Source organism: Homo sapiens, chromosome 10, assembly GCF_000001405.40.
Source record: "Homo sapiens chromosome 10, GRCh38.p14 Primary Assembly".
In the NCBI taxonomy this organism is placed as follows: domain Eukaryota; kingdom Metazoa; phylum Chordata; class Mammalia; order Primates; family Hominidae; genus Homo; species Homo sapiens.
In genome coordinates, this window is record NC_000010.11 from 100,731,227 (window position 1) to 100,752,409 (window position 21,183).

At 57.3% G+C, this 21,183-nt stretch overlaps 1 protein-coding gene across 7 annotated transcripts in view, besides 5 other annotated features; it reads left to right on the plus strand.

The window, feature by feature from the left end:
• The window catches only part of PAX2 (paired box 2), a 94,549-nt gene continuing 77,535 nt past the window's right edge, over nt 4,170-21,183 (plus strand). For 5 of the 7 annotated variants that reach the window (NM_003987.5, NM_003990.5, NM_003988.5 and 2 more), the window contains exons 1-3: nt 14,356-15,077; nt 18,520-18,688; nt 19,468-19,665. In NM_003987.5, the coding sequence (NP_003978.3) occupies nt 15,035-15,077; nt 18,520-18,688; nt 19,468-19,665 (410 nt within the window). In that variant the 5' untranslated portion in view covers nt 14,356-15,034. Of the gene's footprint in view, nt 4,508-14,355; nt 15,078-15,788; nt 16,212-18,519; nt 18,689-19,467; nt 19,666-21,183 lie in introns of those variants that run through there. The other 2 variants (NM_001304569.2, NM_001374303.1) reach the window with 2 other exon arrangements.
• Nucleotides 5,700-6,445: an enhancer, noted in NCBI's record as "OCT4-NANOG-H3K27ac-H3K4me1 hESC enhancer chr10:102496683-102497428 (GRCh37/hg19 assembly coordinates)". NCBI's record gives its function as "activates a minimal SCP1, AML or CMV promoter by ChIP-STARR-seq in naive H9 embryonic stem cells {active_cell/tissue: H9 hESC(naive)}" and the evidence as "EXISTENCE:reporter gene assay evidence [ECO:0000049][PMID:30033119]".
• Nucleotides 6,446-7,189: an enhancer, noted in NCBI's record as "OCT4-NANOG-H3K27ac-H3K4me1 hESC enhancer chr10:102497429-102498172 (GRCh37/hg19 assembly coordinates)". NCBI's record gives its function as "activates a minimal SCP1, AML or CMV promoter by ChIP-STARR-seq in naive and primed H9 embryonic stem cells {active_cell/tissue: H9 hESC(naive and primed)}" and the evidence as "EXISTENCE:reporter gene assay evidence [ECO:0000049][PMID:30033119]".
• Nucleotides 13,398-13,447: an enhancer, noted in NCBI's record as "active region_3899". NCBI's record gives its function as "activates an Ori minimal core promoter by ATAC-STARR-seq in GM12878 lymphoblastoid cells {active_cell/tissue: GM12878}" and the evidence as "EXISTENCE:reporter gene assay evidence [ECO:0000049][PMID:35858748]".
• Nucleotides 14,547-15,088: an enhancer, noted in NCBI's record as "H3K4me1 hESC enhancer chr10:102505530-102506071 (GRCh37/hg19 assembly coordinates)". NCBI's record gives its function as "activates a minimal SCP1, AML or CMV promoter by ChIP-STARR-seq in naive H9 embryonic stem cells {active_cell/tissue: H9 hESC(naive)}" and the evidence as "EXISTENCE:reporter gene assay evidence [ECO:0000049][PMID:30033119]".
• Nucleotides 18,978-19,912: an enhancer, noted in NCBI's record as "H3K4me1 hESC enhancer chr10:102509961-102510895 (GRCh37/hg19 assembly coordinates)". NCBI's record gives its function as "activates a minimal SCP1, AML or CMV promoter by ChIP-STARR-seq in naive H9 embryonic stem cells {active_cell/tissue: H9 hESC(naive)}" and the evidence as "EXISTENCE:reporter gene assay evidence [ECO:0000049][PMID:30033119]".

Sequence of the window (21,183 nt, forward strand, 5' to 3'; positions counted from 1 at the left end):
CTCCCCCGCCTGCAGAATCCCCACGCCGTCTCTTACTTCCTCCCTCTTTGCCACTGGCGAGCTTACACGTGCACACACACACACCCCTCTCTGTCTGTGACCGCAACAAACTTTGTGAAACTTGAACCGCTGGGTGCAAAGTTCACGCCCTTTTCTCCTTTCCTCTCTTGCCTGGGCCGGCTCCTCCTGGAGCAGGGAGGGAAGAAGTTCTTGGCCTCCAGACCTGGGAGAGGAGTTTCCGAAAGTCAGGGCCTCGCCTCGCTGTGACATTAGACCCTTGCCACCCACCAGACCGATGGACACTAAACACTTTCCTTGTCGGAAGGCGCTAGTAGTTGCAGCGGCCAGGCTTGGCAGGGCCCTGGTCGACCACCCCACCACTGCCCTGGCCGGACTTTCCCAGGGCGTTGGTCTCCTGGTCCCTATTAAGTCGGGGCTGTCCTGGGCTTGGAGCCCAGGTTCAGGGCTGTCAGCCCCTTGCCAGCTGTCTGAGCTCTCTGCCTTTCTAGTTTATTTTCCCCCAGCTCTTGCCCTGGGTTAGCTCTCTCCCAGCCCTCCACTCTGTCTCTGTCTCCGACTCCATCTCTGGCAGGGCTGCCACTGTCTCTCTGTCTCTCTGTCTCTCCCTGTCTCTCTGTCTCTGTCTCTCTTGTTTGTTTCAAGGCGCGGACACTGATTGTGCCTTATGAAGTTCTAACTGGTTTTGTGTCAGGAAGATCTTTCTCGCCGCTACCCAGCCTGGCGTGACGGATTAAACATCAACTAGTTAAATAAAAATTAATATCAACTGCCTCCTAACTTCTAATGTCATGTTGTTTATAACTAATGAACTGATTAGGGGATAAACATATCACGAAGACATTCCACTCTCCTGCCTCGGCTCCGCTGCCGCCTGGTACCCACTCCCCAGCATGGCCTGCGGGTTGCCAGGCCAGAAGGAGTTGGGGGAGGGGGTTGCTGGAGGCGGAACAGGCTGGAGGGCCTGAGGGCTCCCTGGGGCTTGCTCCTCTTCCTGCCTTGATCTCTTTACTCCCTTTCTCTCTTGTCTTTCCTTCTCATTTCCTTCCTCTGTACATTTCCTCTTCTCAGTCTCTCTTGTTCCCTTCTTTCCTTATTTCTGTCTCCCTCTCTCCTTTTTTCCTCCTTTCCTCCCATCCATTCCTGTCCTCCTCTGCCCTGTGCTTCTCCGCCTCTGTCTCTGGTAGTGTTTCTCTCTCTCTGCCAGTCTGGGCCCTGAACCCTTCCCTCTCTGGTTCTCCTCTCTTCCTCCCTCTATTGGAGTTTCTGCCTCTCTCTTCCCCCTTGTTCCCCATCATTCGGATTCATTCCTCCCTAGCCAGTGCAAAGCATAATGATGACCAGTCCTTGTGACTAGGCCTCTGCCCTGCTACAAAGCAGGAGGCTGCAACCTCTCCCTCAGCACCTTGGTGGAGACTGATGCTCCTCCCTGCTCCCCAGCTATTTAGGGGAGAAGGGAAGGAACTAGAAGACGTGAGGGTCCTGTTTTTTATTTCTCCTCTATTTGATCTGGAACAGGAGTGAGGAAATAAAAAATGATTTTTTGAAAACTTTTGCTTTTCATCTTGTCCCAGAATAAATTAATACAGGCTCAGGTGCTAAATTTAATTTTCAGGAAAAGAAAAACTGCCCTGATACCTCTCCTTCAGGGTCTTCAGCTTTCTCACCAGCCAGCCCCAGCCTGACCTGAGCAGCCTCCTGCAGGGCCCTTTTCCTAAAGATACTTAAACCAAATCACAATTGTCATCATGACAACAATAAGGCAGAGAAGCCAGTAATCACAGACCCAGCCCCAGTGATTATTTTTTCTCCTAAGAAGCCACAACATTTAAACTTGGTTTGCCCTGGACCTCAGGGTCTGACAAGACAATAACAACAGAAAAAGCTTTTAAAACCAATTTAGCACACGTGAAAATGTAATTCTAATGAAGAATCAATAGGCTGGCGGATCATTTTTCCTGGGACTCCTTGGAGATCCTGAGAGAGACTTTCAATCAATGGGGCGGGCAATGAGCAAGAGGGCCCAAGAGACAGTGCAGGACAGGGGTGAGGGCCAGGAGACAAAGAGAAGCTGAGCCTGAGGGAGGAGGCCAGAGGGAGGCTGAGGTACAGGGCTGGGCCCTTTGACTGACATCACTTTGCAGGCTTCCGGAGGAAGAGTATCAGAGCCAGAGGTAAGAAGTCACCTTCCTCTTCATGGCCCCTCTGGTATGCAACAGGCGACTTTGCACAATGGCCTCAGCTCTCTTCCCCTGAGCCTAGGCCCTGGCCTTGGCACTGCCCCAACTCTGGGCCCTGTGTTCAGGTAACTGTGACCAATGGGCTCAGGAGCAGGCAGGGGACACTGAGTACGTGTGTTTCCAGTTCAAAACACCTGGTTCCCAGTGGGTGCTTCCCGCTGTATGTGTCTGGTACGCTGGGCCTCAGTTCAAGTCTCTGACAGAACAGAAGCAAAAGCACCGGAAGTATGTGTGGTCATACTTCACATTTTACAAATCACTTGCACACACACTATCTCACGAGAAGCCTGCTAGAAGGGCAAGGATTATCATCACTATTTCAGAGAAAAGGCCACAAAAGGGCACAAAGAGCTGTGCAGTGAAGGTGAGACTCAGCAGGCCACAGTCCCTGTGTGTGAGTGGGTGTGGTTCTGAATAGGTGACAGCGAGAGGCTAATCAATGTGTGATCATCTCACATGTATGCAATGGAGGGGCCACACAACAGTGTGAGATTTTTGTCACGATGGTGTGAGATTTTTGTGTATGTAACTAAGGTCTCATGTATACATATTGCTCTCCATCCCTGTCCTTGGAAATGTCGCTCCGTGGATAACAAAGTGAAAAAAATTTTTTTTGCTTCTAAGTATTTGTGTGCTTGGGTTGGAAAATCACTGATGGAAAAAGAAAAAAAAAACACCACCATGGTCTGATATTTTAAATCACAAATATTAGTACGATGATAATTTGGCCATAATTTGCCTGAAAGGGTAAAAATATCATATTCTTGTAGAAAGATATTTAAATTTTAAGTCACAGAACCATGATATAGGTTTTGCCTCTGGGCTCTTGTGCCCCTCTGGCTTCCTGTCCCTAGTTATACAACCTTTCTAGAGGAAGTTCAGCTGAAGTGGTGGGAGTCCCTTTCCTATTCCTGAGGGAAGTTGGCCCAGTGGGCCTGGTGAACCTGCTGCCTGGCTTGCCTTGGTGCCTTCCTGCCTGGGGCCTGGTGGAGTATGCTCAAGATGGGGCCAGCCCCAGCCTCTGCCTGCCCACGGGGGTTTACCCAGCACTTTCCTTGATAGCCTCTCAGTTTTCCCCCGTGAGTGTGAGCCAGGCTGTGAAGTGGGAGGCCCAGGGTATGTGGGTAGGGGTATTAAGTGGAGCAAATGAAGAAGGGGAACCCTGGGGCAAGGAGGAGTGGGAGCTGTGGTGCTTAGAAGGTGTGTGTGTGTGTCTGAAGTAGGAGTACAAGACGGTGCAGATGAGCAAAGGGTGTGAGAGTTTTGAGGGAGAGCTTGTGGCTAAGGTGTGAGAGGTGTAAATTCCAGGTTGGGAGGGAGTGATGTGGGCAAAGATAAAGTGGGCCTTTCATCAGGGTTGGAAGTATCAGTGTGCTGGAAGAGGAGGGTGTGAGTCTGAGGGTATAAGAGACTTGGGACCAGAATGCTATGGACGGGCATGGCTCAAGCGGGTGGCCCTGTGAGTGTGGCAGGAGTTTGGAAGGGGTGAGTTCCTCCTCCCTTTCCCCCTCGCCCTCGCCATCTCTTTAAAGGCAAGGAAGCCAGAACTTTTTTCTTTTATTCAGTTTAAAAATAAAAAAGCTCCTGGAGCAGGAGAACCTGTGAGGGATTTAGCGAGCACTTCCACCCTGAACATAGCGGGGACAGGGCCCTTCTGGAACCACTGTGTGGCCTGAGAAAGTTAGGGCATGTCTGTGGAGATCCTGGAAAGGGAGGCTGTGGAGCCTCACGTTCCAGAAAGTGGAATGAGCCGAGAGCTGAGAGTGGTGGGGAAGGGGAACCGCACAAAGTTGGGAAGTAGGCGAGAAGCCAGGCTGTGGGTCTGGAGGGGGGCGTGTGACAGTGAAGAAGAGGGGGTTGGGTGAGAGGGTGTGCCGGCGTCTAGGCTGGGCTGCGGTCCGTGGGCGCCTCAGGCAGCGAGGGTGGCTGCTTGCCTGCGGCTGGCTGGGGCCTCGGTGCGTGTGCACGCGTGTGCGCGGGGCGGAGAACCCGGGCTCCTCGGGGTGCCGGAGCCTCTGCGCGGCCGGGAGTGAGAGAGCGGGCGCGGGCGGAGCACACAGCCGTGGCGGCGGGCGGCTCGGGTTATCTGAGCCGCTTGGTGTTGGGTGGCTGCGCCCAGATCTCCGGGCGGCGGCGGCGGCGAAGGCGAGACGCGTTGTCGGGCCGCGGAGGAGCGGGACAGCCAGACCCAGCCCCAGGACGCGGCGGCCGCGGGGAGCCTAGCATGGAAGAGCGCGCGGGTCCGGCAGGTAAGAGCGGCAGAGACCCGTCCGCGCCGCAGGCGAGGACTAGGGGAGAGGGATGGGGGCGGCCATGGCCGGGGCGGGCTCCTCTCCTCTTTCATCCCTGTGCTCAGTACCCGGCGGGCGACGTGAAGGCTGGGGACTGAGGCTCTGCGGACTCTGGGGCCTCCTGGGCCGTCCCTCCCGGTGTCCTCTAAACCTTCTGAAAACTTTCCACTCAGAAAATGTGAGTTCTACAACTTCGCTTGCAGAACTTGGCTTTTTCCTTTCTGTTGTGTGTTGAGGACTTTCTCGTTCTACTTTGGGCTACAGATATTTTGCACAACTTCCTCCAAGTTGGGAGCATTGGGAAGGCCTTCGCTTCCAGTAAGCAGGGAGTGTGAGCTGGGCCAGCGCCTATGCCAGTGGGTGGGGAAACTCTGTGTGTACCTGTGTGTAGGGTCTTATGTATTCGATTATGAACACTAATGTAGATGAGCCTAACCTCTGTAGGGAGAAGGCTGTGTCCCCCCAACCCCAAATCAAGGGCAGCATGGGGACAGGTGGCAGGCCCCAGGGGACCCAGTGGGGAGAGGAATCTGAAAATGTTTACCCAAAGGGCTAAGGGAGTAGAGTGTTGCTCTCTTTTTCTTCCTTCCTTCGCTTGTCCCCCAGGCTGCCAACTCAGCTCTGGACTGCCCTTTAGGTGCCCTGGTGTTGTACAGCGGTGGGAAGCCAGGCACCCAAGTTTAGTTTTGGACTTCGGGGGAGGGAGAGGGTTGGAACAGGTTTCCAGAGTTTTCCAAATAATTCCACAGAGGTCAAGGCCTAATTTGAGGCCTTTTTTGCCTCACTCCTCACCTTTCCCAAATCTCATTCCTTGCTCCCCCCTCCCCCAGCTCAGGTTCCAGTTGTTTCAGCTGATAACCCAGGTCCCACCCCCAGCCCTACCCTTGATCTAGCTTCTCGACCCAATCCCTGGGCTGTACCCAATTCCCCTCCTAGGGCCTTGTCCCCACTGGGAAACCTGAACCCCCGGGAGTGTCAACTGTGGCCACCTGAGCTTTTAGGGCTCTGGGCAGACCCTCTGCACCAGAGGTTTAAGTAGGGAGATCAATAGCAAACAGTTGTAATGATCTAATTAATTATGGCAAAATTAAAAGCGAGTACAAAATCAATCTCTGATGGTGTTGAAGATGGAATTCAATTGAGAGCCCATCTGTGCACCCCCTCGACCGTATAAATATTCAGCCCAAGGACAGACCTAACGTCTGGGACTTCCTGAGAACCTCTCTCCCCTTTCTTCCTCTCTGCACAGGGCTTCTCTCTCCCAAACTCTTTCTGAATCTATTTTGCCCCTTGATACCTCCTGTCCCCTGCCCTCCTTCTTTCCCTTTCCCATTTGCTCAAGCTCCTGAGACTCCAACTTTTCCATTTTCCCTCCGGGCAGGCGCTCTGCCTGCATTGCAGGCCTGAGGTTTGTGAACCAGGTTCTCAGTCCCAGCAAGTCTCCCAGCAAGGCATCTAGGCCCCCTCCCCAGGACCTCGGGAAAGAGAAGGCAGTGTGATGGGGAGCATCCTTGAGTGCCTGTCAGGGTCCTTATTCCAAATTTTCTGGCCCTCAGGATACTACAGAAGAGACCAGGGCACTCTCCACTTACCCAGGGGCGCCTGCACCTACTTGGGCCTGACGGGTTAGGGCGGCCGCTTACCCGGCGCGCGTGGCACAGCGGCCAGCGGCCCGACTCCGCACCGCACTTCCTTTCCCTTCCCTCTTTTCCCGCCTTTGCGGGTGCGGGTCTCGTGTTCCAGGCAGCAGCAGCTCCGGGAAAGGCGGGGGGGAGCTGCGGAGCTGGGCAGGAGACAGGGCTGTGTTTGGGAAAAGGAAACCGCACTTCGAGGCGGCTCCGCAGAGCAGAGCTGCAGAGTCTTCCGCCCTCCCAGCCGCCTTCTCCCTTTGCCTCTTTCTCTTTTCACCGCCCCCTCCCTCATCTCTTCGGTAGCCACGTTTGGCCGGGGCACAACTCCCTGGAGGCCCTGCCCCCCTAGACGGCCCCGAGCCCTTTTGGACCTCATCCGGCTAGTTTAAAATGACAATGACAGAGGCGCGTGACCGAACGTGCCTGCCGGACGTCCTGGCGCAACTGCCGCAGCCGGGTTTGCGAAGGATGCGGGTTTTACTTAGTCTCGCTGAGCCTGTTCCGGAGCAGCGAAAACCATCAGGAAAGGGCGAGAGAAGGAGGAAGGGGATTGAATCAGCAACTAGGGCAATTGTGGTCTTCAGCTATCGCTGCCTATACCCCCAGAACTTACAAAAATAAGCCGTTTATTCGATGCCCTCCCTTTTTCTGCACTGCTCTGTCCCAGCTGGCTCTCTGGCTCCCTGACGCTGGTCCCCTGCCTCTGCCTTCTGGGGCCCTGAGCTCCCTCCCTGGCCTGCACTGAGTTCCCAGGTTTCTTTCTACCTTGGGAGACTTCTCCTCTCCCTCTCCCCATTCGGGCGCCAGGCTTTCAGAGCCTGGGGGAGACACAGCCTGATGCCTCGCCGCCCTCTTTTGCCAGGCCTCCTCACCCCGTTATTAACTGCTGTGTTGACCTGCAGGATTGATTGGCGGCCCCGCTGGAAGAGGCTGCGGAGGCCTTGGCCTCGGAGCAGCCTCTGCTTAGGGCAAAGGGAGAGAGGGAGGGGGAGGTGCTGGATATGGGTCCCCAGCTCCCATCTCAGCCCCGCCTGGAACACAGCTGTCTGCCTATACTACCTTCGCCACCCCCTGGCACTTTTTACACACCCTCACAACACTCAAGCACACTCCTACGATCCCCTCATCCAGACGCTCAGCCCCCAAAGAGACACATCAGAAATTCTCCTTAATTGATTCAGAAATTGAAAGGGGCTTCCTCCCTCCATCAGTTTCTTCAATGTATTCGTTATCCGCGGGTCTAGACCTCCCAGCCCGTCTAGACCTAGCGGAGCGAACTCCTGGAACCTGAGGGATTTTTTTCTTTCCAACATTTACCTTGCAGCTTTTCTTTTTTAGGAACAGTTACACAAAGTTAAGAAATAATTCTGGATGTAGGTGACGCTTGAGATGCAAGTCTCAAACCAAAGCATTTTTTCCAGAAAGAGACCCTGTCCTGGCTCCTGAGGGATTCAGTTCAGCCCTTTTGTTTCAAGTTCGGGGAACGGATGGCTCTGGACCTTGGAGGGCAGAGGCTGGCAGTCGCCTGGGGCAGGGGTCTCACCCTACAGAGAGGGCCCTCCTTCCCCCTTTCCCCGAGGGCCTAATCCGTCGCGCGCGCGCACGCGGACACACACACACACACACACACACACACACACACACGGCCCCCATAGCCACCGCAACTCTCAGCAGCAGCCCTAGCCCCGACCCGAGGCCCCAAGACGGCGGGCCAGGAACCCCTGGGACGTCCTGGCTCCAGGCTGGACGTAGGCGGAGGTGGCAGGAGTGGACAAACCCAGGCGGGTCCCACGACGCCCCTTTCCTCGGGTCTCTCCTTGTTTCAGCCAGCCGCTCTCGCCCCTGGTCCCCTCTCCCCTGCGTTCGGGTCCTTTGTCTCCAGCCACCTCGCAGCCTGTCCCCGCCTCGGCGGCCCTGCCCTTTGGGCCTCCCAGTCTCTCTGGCGGGTCCCCCTGCCTTACCAGCTCCCGGCTGTGGCGCGCTCTCCGCCTGCTCCTCACATCCACACAGCTGCTGGGAGAGGAGGAAGGAAAGGCGGGCGCGCCGCGGATGGATCCGAGACGGTAGATTTGGTGCCGGCTCGCAACTCTGGGAAACTCAGCGCGGGTCCTCCCGCCCCTCTCCAACTCTGCCCAGCGCGGCCCGGTCGCGCGCGCTCACCCGCGGGGACCCTTCCTTTCCCTGTATTTCGGCTGTGGCTGTTTCGCTCCCTCTGGTCTCCCAGCCTCTGGAGTGTGCTTCCCTGGCCCTGCTCTCCGTTCCCTTTCGGCCGCCCCCGGCTGTCGCCTGCCCCCACCCTCCGCAGGTCCCACGGTCGCGGCGGCGATGACTGTGGAGGTAACGCCGGGGACGTCCTGGGTCAGCCTGCACCGTCTCCCTCGACCACAGCCCGATGAGGCCGCGGGCTCCGGGCCGGCTGCTAAGAGAGTTAATCATTACTTCGCCAGCGACACTCAGCCTCCCTCCGACTCTCTCGCCCGGCCTAGGGGAGGAGGGGAGGGGACAGCTGGCCAGGTGGGGACTTCGGCTTCGCACAAACCAGCCTCTTCAGGCCTCCCAGAGACAGGTGGTGGCTTCTCAGTTCCCTCGGCAACTCTCTAAGGTCCTCTTTCTTCCCCTCCTGTCTCTCCCTCCTTCGAGCCTCCTCCCAGCCAGGCCTCTCCCCACCGTCTCCTGTCCGCTCTGGCTTTGACTGATTAACTGCAGGTCCTGGGAGAACCAACTTTCTTTGTTTGGAACCGGACCGGACGGGATTTCCTTCCCTAGGTCTCCGCCAATGGGCCAGCTCCTCCCGACGGTTTTGGCGGACTGGCTGAAGAGGACCGCGCCTGAGGCCACAATTAACCCGGCTGTTGGTGGTGGTGGTTGGGGGGTGGGCAGTGAGGAATTTAACCGATCCTCTAGCAGCTGCGCTGGTGCAGTTGGGAGGGGGGTGCAGGAAGTGGGAATGGAGGAGTGGCAGGAGGTATAGACAGAGGGAAGAACGATAAACCTGGACAGGTGTGGCATAGCCAATAGAAGGGGAAACAAAATAAAACAGGAAGGCGGCGCGGGGAGGAATCCCCAGTAACCTTTATAGGATTGAAGTTGGGTGGAAAACGCCACCTCCTGCCCTACCTTAGCACTCAGATCCCTCCTTTACCTCTTTGTGAAAGGGTAAGAGTTCAGAAAGCTGGCCATTTACTCCATAATCTACTAGAGAAATGTCTGGGTTTGCAAAATGCCTATTGATTAGCTCCATGGAGTAGACAAGACAGGCGTAATTATCCCCATTTTACAGGTGAGAAAACTGAGTCTCAAAGAAGCAAAGGGACTGTGTATGTAGTGGCTGTCACTTTTTCCTGTAGGCTGTGGGGTGAGTGGCCCCTTTAGGAGGTCCATGGGTATCTAGGGAGGCGGTACAGGCTGTGTCCAGGTCTGAGCCAGAAGTACCAGGGCCTCACGGGGCTCCTAGCCCTTTTAGCTTGTTCTCTGTTGGACAGGACCTTCACTCTTACTCTCTAGACCTGCTGGCTGGGTTTCTCCCAGCTTCGCTATTTTTTCAGTTCCCTAGTAGAGTGGCCCATGGGCGGTAGCCACCTGGCTGGCCCGTGCCACTAAGAGGCAGCTTTGGTGGCCAAGTGGCTTGCATTGTTGTTGCTCCTCAAAGGGCCTGTGAAGGGCTGGGCAGGTCGCAAAGACCTCTTGTGAGGGGAAGCTAGATTAAAGGGGGAGGGATCCTGGAGGATAAAGGCCCAGCACGTGCGCCTGGACTCCACAGGACCAACAGACCGAGCGGGCGGGGCCAGCTGGGAGTCAGGCCCCCCGGGCTTCACGCAGGGAGCCCAAATATTGGGAACAAAAGCAGGAAAAGAAGAGTGAGAGCAGGAGGGAGGGAGGGAGCGAGGAAGCAGAAATTAGGGGGTCTTAGATGAAAAAAAAAAGAAAGTAGCTTTAGGGGGAATGTGCTGTGGAGTGTGAAATTGCAGCCCATGGTGCTCCATATTGTACCAGAAGCTCTTCCAAAAAAAAAAAAAAAAAAAAACCATCCTCCAACGTGACCAGAGGGCCAGGCAGGGGGAAGGGCGGGGAGAGAATGGGGAGGAGGAGGGGGAAAGGCCGGGCAGGAGCCGGTCAGGCCTTTCTGCGGAAGGGGCTGGGGTGTAAGTTTCGGCTCCCTGGGATCTGACAGCCGAGGGTATGCGCCCTGGGGTGCGCCGGGACCCAGAGGGCGAGTGAGCCTCGGTTGGTCGGCTCTGGAGTTCGGTTGTCAGAAGAACTTTTATTTTTCTTTTTGGTGGTGACTTCTAAAAGTGGGAATAATCCAGAAATGAAGCTCAGCTGCGGAGCTGCAGCTCTGTTCTCCCTCTCTCCCCTCCCTTTCTGCTTCTCTTCCCTTCGGACTACTTTTCTCCCCTTGGTTCTAAACAGCTTTTTCCCCTCTGAACTTTAATGCATTTAATTTGGTCCGCGCTGTGGGGAGCATTTCCTGGGGAGATGCATTTAATTTCGGAATTTCTAATCCCCTCCCTCAGACCCCGGTCCTAGCTCCCCTAGCCGCTCCCCGGGAAGTGGAAGGAGGAAGGCAGGTCCCGGCCACGGGGGAGGGGCGCGGCTGGGATGCTCCCGCGGCCCCCTCCGTCTCACCAAGGCTCAGCCGCCTTCCCAAGCTACTGGAGGCCGGGCGCCTGGGCCCCGGGTCAGGGCCCTGCAGGAGGAGGAGAGGCAACCACGCTTCTGCCTTTTCTCGCCTGGGCAGAAAACGCTGGGCCAGGGAACTGGAAACCGGAAAACAGGAGAAAGGGTTTCTGGAAGGCAGCGGGAGCGGGTGGCAGCGGGGCAGCGGGCAGTGGACTAGGTCTACACCGGCACTTCACTTTTGCACAACATGCCCAGAAACGCATTTGAGAGCCCTGGAGTCGCGCTTGGCTTGGCTTGGGGCGCCGGTGCGTGGGTACACTCGAGGTGCGGGGTGCCTATCCGCCACCCCGACACCTACACCCAGACAGAGCAGGCGCGGCCCAGCCAGAAAACCAGGCCGGCAGTAGCTCGGCCTGGAGGGCGGAGGCAAGGTTGGGGGCCGCCAGGCGCCTGGGCAAGCCTGGCAGGGAAGGGAGCCGAGAAGGCAAAGGAGCCGAGATCCACAAGGAAGATTTATTGGGCAGATCAGATGCACAGAGGCGGCTAATGAAGCAAATCCCGAGATGGGTATCAGAGCAACTCCCCAAAAGTTTATTTGCCTTTAAATTTCCGCAGGGAGGCGGGCTCCTTGTTTGAAGTGTAAATGCCCCTAGGTTGGGGGGTGGAAGGGCCGCTTTGAAAACACCAGAGAGAAAAGGTTCATTTAGAGGCGGACGGGAAAAGCAACCAACCCTGACAGGTCGGAGCCCGGGTAGTGTTTGGGGTTGGGTTGTTTTCTTTCTTTCTCTTTCTTTTCCCCTTTCCTCTTCTTTCTTCCTTTTTTTTTTTTTTTTTTTTTTTTTTTTTTTTTTTTTTTGCTTTCTTGCTTCCCCCCACCCCTCTACTAGACTGTATAGAAGAAAGAGAACAGAAAAGGGGGAGTCAGAGGAGCGGCCAGTGACTGGATGAAGGCCAGCCCTTCATCCTGGAGCCCCAGGAGAAGGCAGAGCTTTGGAGAAAAGGGGTTCCTAATCTCCAGGGAGCATTACTCTTTGACTCTCTAGACCCAGGAATGGGCTGGAGCTAATGGGGAAGCGGCCAGGAGCCGGCCTGGCGGAAGAGTGAGTGTCCAGCTAGTGCAGTGCTGGGGAGACGATCCCAGGAGCAGGGGGGACTCTCAGGGGCTACCTGGGAATGGGACTATCAGAAGGGTCTTTACTCCTCAGAAGGTGCATGTGAAGGACAGGTGTGTGAGGACAACTTCCAGCACACTTGGCGCATTAAGTCCCCTTCTCTACAAAATGGAAAATCCTTCTCGCCCAACATGTGAAAATGCTTGTTGTGGGCACCCACATTTCATGGTACTTGTAACATAGGGACATGTCTAGCTGGTTCTAGAAAAATCTGTGTCTGTGTGGAAGGGGGGGGGTTTACTCACAGCTTTCTTCCTTCAATAGTTCACACACCCCGAGACAAATTCCTGGATGACCAACTTGGAGAGACCTGGGGCAAAGGTTACTTTAGTTCTGAGCTCCTCTAAATAAGGACCCTTTCTCAACGTTCCTTTCACCCCAGTTCTGGGTTAATTACTTCCCAGAGGGGAAAGCCAAGGCTGTGCTAGCTAATACCACCTGAGATCCCTTGCACTCTGGCCTGGGAGCTGTTACTTTTCGGCTGCCCGAACTGTTTTCCTTCTTCGGTCCCTACACGAAGTTAGTGCGTGTTCGTGGGGTTGTGAGGCCAAAGCAAACCCGGGAGCGCCATCTGCAGGCCTCAAGAGGAAGAGACTGACCTTAGAGGCTAGGCCCTGCGTCTTCAACCTCTAGCCCAAGGGAACCAACCTGCCTAGCCACCCAAGGGAAGTGGGATAGGGGCTGGGAGGGGCAGGCGGTGAGGAGTGTTTTCCTCCCAGACTTTACCCCGCAGGTGGATTAAGCTTATTGGGCTCTGGAGGATACAGGAGGGAGGGCAAATGCCAGGATCCCAGCGGACCCAGGCCCCACAGGAGTGAGAGGCTCAGAACCTCGTCCCGCTGAGCCTGGCCTGAGCTCCTCCTGAGGAATAAGGGCATCCCAAAAACCCGGGTACAAGACGCCCAGTAGTAGTAGTTAGGCTGAGTCAGGCAGGTGCATCTCTCCCCATGGTATCTGCCGCCCAGGCTCCGGCCAGAGGGAGGGGAGCGCGAGTCCGCCGCGCTTCCGCGGGGCGCCCGGAGCTGCAGACGGGGGCTGGAGGAATCTCGGATTCGGGCTGCAAGAGCGCTGCGCAAGCTTCGCCGAGCCGCCCTTTCGCAGACCCAGGGAAGCGGGGGGAGGGAGCGAAGGAGGGAGAGAGAGTTAAAACATCAGCTGAAGTGCCAAGATGATTTATGAGACGAGGGAAAATATTTCATGAAGATCTCCCGGATATTCTGTACTTAACCAGTTAGGAGACAAAGGGCTTCTTCTGCCTGGTGCGTGCGAGCGGACCCCAGCGAGCAAGGGAGCTAGTGCCAGAGAGAGCTGCGGAGGCTCCGGCAGGAGTGGGGACGTCCCCGTGGTTGCGCCTCCTGCGCTCGCCCCGGATCCACCGAGCTAGCAGCGGGCGGCGCTCAGCCGCGTCCGCAGCCTCCTCTTCTCCCCAGCCGGGGAGAGCCAGCCTCGTCTCCCACATCCTCTGCCGCCAGCGACCTGCAGCTCCGCACTGTTTCCCTCCCCTGTACCCCCTTCCCAGTCACCCGAGGGTTCAGAAACCAAGTCCCCCGGCTCTCCCGCCATCCGCTGGGTCCCACCGAGGCAGGTGGGTACTCGCCGGAGGTCTTCAGCTCGATTCTGAACCAAGCGTTCTGGACTGCCCAGACCCGGTGGGCAAGGGGACTGGGGAGGCCCTGCGCACAGTCGCGTGGAACGGGAGGGGACAAGACAAACTGCTGGACACTTTTCCGTGGAATGAGAAGTGGGGGGTGCGTGGGTGGGAAGGTACCTCCGGAGGGAAAGGCCAAAGGGAAGGACCAGAAAGAGAGGAAGGAAGAGCCGGGAAGGAACGGAAGGGAACTCAGAGCCGAGGGTGGTGGGGTTGGGGCTAGGGATGCGCACTGGGCCCGGGGCCGCGCGGCCCAGGCGGGCACTGGCCAGTGGATGGCAGGGCTGGGCGAGTTAGAACTGAGAGCCCGGCTTCACAGCGCAGCGCGCTCCGAGGCCCTCTGTCGTTACCTGAATATTCATTAGACTGACCGCTCTTTATCCTTATCTAGCGTTTATCTTATCGGCGAGTTTCGTTTCTCAGTGTAGTTTTAATCCCGGGCTCCCATTCCCCCTCCCCCGGTCCGCTCCCCTCCCTCCCTCTTCCTTCGCCGGCTGCTCCCTCCCTCCCTCCCTCCCATTTCTCCCTCCCCTGCCCTCCCCTAGCCGGCACCGGAGTGACAGGCTCGGGGCCCTCCTCGCCGAAGCTCGGGGCTCCAGCGCTGGCGAATCACAGAGTGGTGGAATCTATTGCCTTTGTCTGACAAGTCATCCATCTCCCGGCGCGGGGAGGGGGAGGAGGTCTGGAGGGGGCTTTGCAGCTTTTAGAGAGACACACACCGGGAGCCGAGGCTCCAGTCTCCGGCCGAGTCTTCTCGCAGCCGCAACCCACCTGGGGCCAGCCCAGAGCTGCCAGCGCCGCTCGGCTCCCTCCCTCCCTCCCGGCCCTTCGGCCGCGGCGGCGTGCGCCTGCCTTTTCCGGGGGCGGGGGCCTGGCCCGCGCGCTCCCCTCCCGCAGGCGCCACCTCGGACATCCCCGGGATTGCTACTTCTCTGCCAACTTCGCCAACTCGCCAGCACTTGGAGAGGCCCGGCTCCCCTCCCGGCGCCCTCTGACCGCCCCCGCCCCGCGCGCTCTCCGACCACCGCCTCTCGGATGACCAGGTTCCAGGGGAGCTGAGCGAGTCGCCTCCCCCGCCCAGCTTCAGCCCTGGCTGCAGCTGCAGCGCGAGCCATGCGCCCCCAGTGCACCCCGGCCCGGCCCACCGCCCCGGGGCCATTCTGCTGACCGCCCAGCCCCGAGCCCCGACAGTGGCAAGTTGCGGCTACTGCAGTTGCAAGCTCCGGCCAACCCGGAGGAGCCCCAGCGGGGAGCGCAGTGCTGCGCCCCCCGCCCCCGCGCGCCCCGCAGCAGCCGGGCGTTCACTCATCCTCCCTCCCCCACCGTCCCTCCCTTTTCTCCTCAAGTCCTGAAGTTGAGTTTGAGAGGCGACACGGCGGCGGCGGCCGCGCTGCTCCCGCTCCTCTGCCTCCCCATGGATATGCACTGCAAAGCAGACCCCTTCTCCGCGATGCACCGTGAGTACCGGCGCCCGGCTCCTGTCCCGGCTCGGGGCTCTCCGTCCCAACCCTGTCCAGTCCCAGCGTGGCCCCGGCCCCTCGCGCTCAGGTCCCATCTTGGAGGCCTCCCTGGCTTCTGGTCCCTCTTTTCGTTCTTTCTCTCCCTCGCCCGGTGTTTCTAATGCCTCCAGTTTCTCTCCTGCCTTCTGTCACCCATTCTTACCTCTCTGTCTGCCTGCCTTCCTACCTTCCCTGATCCCTATCACCTGCCTTTGCTCTTTCTATCCGCTCCTTCTTAGGTCATGGGATCCACGGCCTCGGAGCCCTGGTTCCAGCCACCCTCTCCCTAGTCAGCCTCTTGCCCTGGGCTGGGGGGCAAATTAGCAGGCAGTTTTCAGGGTGTTGTTTTGTTGTTTTCTCTGTCTTTTCTCTCTTTCTCTCTTCCTCTGTTTGCCTCCCTCTCCTGTCTCCCCACATCTTTATCTTTCTCAAACTTAAGAGTCGTGGGGTCCAGGAGACTCCAAGAGTATTCAGCCTCAGTGTCAGGACAATTGGGCAGAAGAGTGTGGGGGTGGGGTGCCCCCTTCTGACCCTCATCTCTCAGCATCTCCAGGCCCTTCCAGCCCAGCATAGGCTTCTTGTGGGTTGGTTTGAAATATTTTCTTCCTCTTCCTTTCTTTCCCACCCCCCTTCCCTTGCCTTCCCTTCCCTTCACATTGGGAATCCCAGGTTGTCAAGACACGATGGTCATCTTTCCCTGCCTCTGCCTGGGGGATGCTCTAAAAACAAAGAGGGGCTCCGAGAAGAAATCGAAGTCAGGGAGAGAGCCAGCAGCGCAGCCTTCCAGGTGGGCCCCCGGCAGAGTGCAGCTCTGCTCTCAGCTCTGGAGGCTCCTTGCCTAGACTGCCGACTCCCCATTGAGGATCACGCAGCCAGCAACCTGGCCAGGGGGTCAGCAAAGAGCAAAAAATGAGGGGGAAAGAACAAAAGGAAAGCAAATGCCAAAGCTGAGGAGAAAGGAAAAGAGAAATCCAAACACGGGAAAGGAAATTAAAGAAAGAAAGTTGACATGATGTTACAGAAGAAAAGGGAGAAGGGAGAAAAAAATAGAGAAAAGAGGGAATTATTTTAATAAAATTTGAATTTATGCCATGTCTTTAGCTTGAAAAACTATTCTGAGATTTTTTTTGCAGGCTTTTTTTTTTAAAAGCTAAAATTCTAAATAGAAAACTCCTCCCTATCTGCAGATTAATAATTAAGGATAATTTGTAACTTTTCACAAGGAAACTTTAGACCCGGCTTGGACCTGTGTTTAGGACAAGAGAGCCGAGGAGGGAGAGCTGTGTTTTTCGCTAATCATATATTTAGCGTTGCGGGGGTTGGGGGGGGCGTTTAAAAATACTTCTGGGATAAAATATATTTTTCTAAGTAATTTCCAAGCGCAGGAAAGCCGCGCCGAGGGCATCAGGCCTCCGCGGGTCTCGGCGAGCGGGCCGGAAAGCCTCGGTCCTTTTCGGGAGGAGTGGAACCGGGTCCACACGCCGTTTTCGCCCAGCCAGCCTGCCTCGCGGCCCGCTGCCACAGCTCTCGTTCTCCTTTTTTGCGGATTCCGCCGGGGGTCCGCCGAGTCCTGGCTGCCCGCGGGCAGCCACTTTGAAACCCAAAGGTTTCTGCACGGCCAAGCAGAGGTCGGAGGGAGAGAGCCGCAGCGCGGGCCCGCGGGCCGGTGGACTGGTGGGTGAGACACCGCAGCCCGAGTCGGTGCTGGCGGCCGTGGCGCATTCCAGGCCCGACTCAGCGCCGACTCGCTGCAGTCCCCCAGCCCTGGACTCCCGCCGTGTCCCCTTCCCATCCCCACCCCTTAGACTGGGGCTGAGGGGCCGGGCCCTGAGCCCGGGGAGGCTGAATTATTCATCTTTAATCTGCCCGCAGCTGCCGCCTTTTCATACCGGTAACGCGAGTTCTCCCGGGGCCTAAATTATTGATGGTCGGGGTTTGGAGGGAGGGGAGGGTGAGAAGTGGGGCTAGAGATAGGGAGATTAACGGGGTGGGCAAGGGGGTAAAAGAAGGGGCTTCAGTCTCTCCCAGCAACGCGATCAGAGGTCTTTCCCCAGGGTTTCACCGAGCTTGCTCTAGGTACCCCCCGAGAAAGGGAGGGGAGAGAAATGAGGGGGGCACAGATGTCCCCGCTTTCTCCGAAACTCGCGTGAGGCTAGCGGGGCAGGGGCTGCAGCTTGCCAGTCCGGGCCGACCCGACTCGGCCGCTAGAAGTCTCTGCGCTTGGATTGCTCAGTACCTGCGGCTACGGGTTGATCGCTCTGGGTGCAGGATTTCTAGACTGCTGTAGGCCAGGGAGAATGGGGCACAGGAAGCACCCTCAGGCCTGGCACCCAGTGGCCGCCTCGGTTCCGAGATCGGGAGCCCGCGCTGGAGCCGGGTTGGAAACCCCGTGCCCTTCTCTTGGCCGAAAGAGCAAAAGCCCGAGCCGCTCGGTTTCCTGGGGGGGCTGCCGAGGTCTGAGGGGTCAAAGGGACTCGAGTCGGGTTTGGGTCGGCTACACAGGGCGCCCCGAGAGTTATTAACTCGCCAGCGAGGCCTATGCCGTGCCACCTGGGCGAGACGGTGGGCCCCAACCAGGCTCTGCGAGGCGCGGCAGGCAGGCGAGCCCAAGCAGCCGGCATTCTCTGCCTGCTGCCTGGAGCCGCTCTGCCTCCCTGTCTCTGAGCGCAGCAGACCCCGGGCCCCTGCCTCATCCGCCTTCCTTGCTCTACTTCAGATACTAAGGAGGTGAAAGAGAGATACGGTCCCCCTACAGATAAATAACATTAGAAAAACTTCCCATCAAAAACAAACAACACAGGAAAGAGGTAGAAAAATTCCGATTACAATTTAATACTTTTTAAAGAAGAGGCAGAGAGCAAAGGGGGGTGTGTGTGTCAGGCACTTATCCCCTGTCTGTGCTAGGAGCTCGGATAAACAGTCAGCCGAGCCTCGACGCCCCCAAATCGTCCGCCTCCAAGCCCCGCACGCGCGGACAGCTCCCGGGTTGCCTGCGGCGCAGGCGGGATGCTGCTTCGCACTAGTCCAGTCCTCTGCCAGGCCCTTCCTCTCCTCGCTTTCTTACGCCCTTTCCGCTGGCATGAATTCCCCTTTGGCATTTTCTCCCCTCTCCCCTCTTTTCTGTCATCTGGTTTCTCTCCAGTCCCCCCTTTGCTTTCTACCTTGCGTCGCAAGGCCTGAGTCGCCCTCTCGCCCAGCCCCCAGTCTTCAGCCCAGCGTCTGTGCTTCCAGTCCCCACTCCTCCGCGTGGTCGTGGAGGTCCACCACCTTTCTTCTCAAGCTCGGGAACATGCCCTTCCGCCCTGCCTGCTTCCTTCGCCCGTCCCGGGCCGCGGACCCTGACTAATGGCCGGTCCCTGCTGTGTGTGGGGTGTTGTGTTTTTTTCTTGTCTCTCCCCAGCAGGGCACGGGGGTGTGAACCAGCTCGGGGGGGTGTTTGTGAACGGCCGGCCCCTACCCGACGTGGTGAGGCAGCGCATCGTGGAGCTGGCCCACCAGGGTGTGCGGCCCTGTGACATCTCCCGGCAGCTGCGGGTCAGCCACGGCTGTGTCAGCAAAATCCTGGGCAGGTGAGGGCTTCGCAGCTGTCCCGGGAGACGCCTTGCCTACTTCCCCGGCCAGCCCTGGGTCTCCAGCTGGAGGACGTGGCTAAAAGTCCAGCGTGCCAAGCCAGAGAGGGAGATCCCCAAAGGGGTCTGGAGAGGTGCTCCTTTTGGAGAGAGTGTTCAGATGGTGGCTGAAGACCCAGGAGCGAGGGTGGCGCAGTGTCACCCAGTGCTTGCCCTGCCCCTGGTCCCTGGTGAGAAGGCAGCCCGTTTCTGGCTTCAGAAAGGGAAGGATGACTTTCCTAATGGAGTTAAGGCAGATACGGGGTGGGAGACATTAGAGGAATGGGGGGGGAGTGAAAATGGGTCCCCGAGAGGAGAAGCAGCAGCATTTGGGAGGCAGAAGGAGGGTCCTGGTTCCCACAGATGCTCTGTGCCCAGTAGGAAAGGGCTCGAGGTGGTGCCTCAACCCTGGCCTCCCAGAGACCTTGCAGCGCTGTTCGTTTTGCTCTTCCCAAGTGAAAGGCTGGGCTTTCACTCCCACGGGTGCCTATTTGGGCTGGTGCGAACCCAGCCCCTGGTGTGGCCGTCTCCCTGGAGGGATGGTACCCCTTGTCCTCCTACTCCGCGGCGCTCCTCCTAGCCAGGCACCCTCAGGAAGTCAGCTCAGCCACACTGGGCCTTTTCCCTCCACTCCGCTGCCTCGGCCGGGCAGGAGAGTGGCTCAGCAGCTCTGGAACCTGCAGCCCCCCTGCCCCGCCACAGTCCGCTTCTGGCTGACCCCGCCGGCTTTCCCGGCGCAGGTACTACGAGACCGGCAGCATCAAGCCGGGTGTGATCGGTGGCTCCAAGCCCAAAGTGGCGACGCCCAAAGTGGTGGACAAGATTGCTGAATACAAACGACAGAACCCGACTATGTTCGCCTGGGAGATTCGAGACCGGCTCCTGGCCGAGGGCATCTGTGACAATGACACAGTGCCCAGCGTCTCTTCCATCAACAGGTGAGCAAGCCACCCGGGTTTTCAGGGCTGGACTCCAGCTCCTGGCTCCTGCCTGCAGGGGTGTCCCACGCCCAGTCTCTGCTCTTTGTCCAGCCTCTGCCCTTTCTCCCTGCTTCCAGCCCCAAATCCTTCTGTCAGAGAAAGGGAACCTGTGAGGCAGAGAGTTAGACAGACAGACAGGGCTGTCTGCAGTTCAGGGCTGGGTATTCCCTGCCAGGCTTCTCCCGCCGGCGTCCTGGAAATGAATCCAAGTGTTTGTGGTAATTAAGACTCCAAGATTACGAGCATCCAGCCTTGGGATCTTGAGACAATCACAGCCTGCAGCCGGAGCCTTTAAAATGACCAGTGTCTATTCATCCCTCCAAACAGACTGGCCTTTCTAAAGGCTGCTCCTTCCCCAGGGGCCGCCGCTTGTCCTGGCTCCCTCACCCTCCCTGCCAACTCCCACAAAGCTCACCTCCCAGGAGTCTGGTCTTGCTAGCCAGCTCCACACAAATTTCTGGCCTGTAGGCACTGGGATCCGGGCTTGCAGAACAAATGCCAACCACCAGCCAGCAACTGGCAGGGAGTAGAGGAGCTGGACAAGGAGGGAGTGCCAAGCAGGGAGGGAGAACTCCAGACTTTGAGACTGAACCTTGGGTGATACCCTCAACCACCTAAGGTGCCTGTCTCCAGGCTGAAGTCTTTGCACTGATGACAGGCTCACACACGTGAGGACAGCACAGGGCTGAGTCAGCTTGACGTGTAGGATATTTAGGTCTCCTGGTCTCCAAACCCCTCCAGTGTGCTCTCGGGGAGAACACATGTGCACACTCCATGCATGTCCACCCTAGCCAGTGTGCCAATATGCCTATCTGTGGTAGCTACAGAACATACAAGCAGCACTGGGCTCAGGAACCCAGGCTGGTTTCAAGATCACAGAACTGTACAAACTGACAGTTGTTCACAGAGTCCCTGCACAAGTCACACACCAGCCTTGGCCCCCCATTTTGAGACACCCCAAAATGAAAAGAGGGCTAAGCAGTTCATACCTTTGTTATTTTTTGCATTCTTCATAAGCTCATTATCAGGGCAACTAATAATTCACATGGTGCCTTATTCTGAAATTGGCATCACATATAAAGGATTTTTTAAATATTTTGCAAATGATATGGAATTATCCCAAATCATCCTGAAAACAGCAGGTAAAATTAGCTGGTAGAATGTACCTTGGCTAAAGAAGATTCCCTCTGCCACACTCGTGCTGTAATGTACTGCGAGGCGACCCCAGAAATTATCCCAGTGTGTGCCATCTGTATTAAAATGGTTATTCAGTTATGAACAGGGTAACATAATACTGATCAGCTAATTATACACCCTCCGAAAACCCTCCAGCTCCCTCGGCCTGGCTCAGCCAGGTATTGAAAGCATAGCGATTTGACATTCAGATACCTTCCAAAGGAGCTGGAGAAAGACGCTGGGTGGTTTGGGAGAGGAATAAGCCCTTTGCTTTAAAAGCCAGGAGAGGAGGCTGGGGCA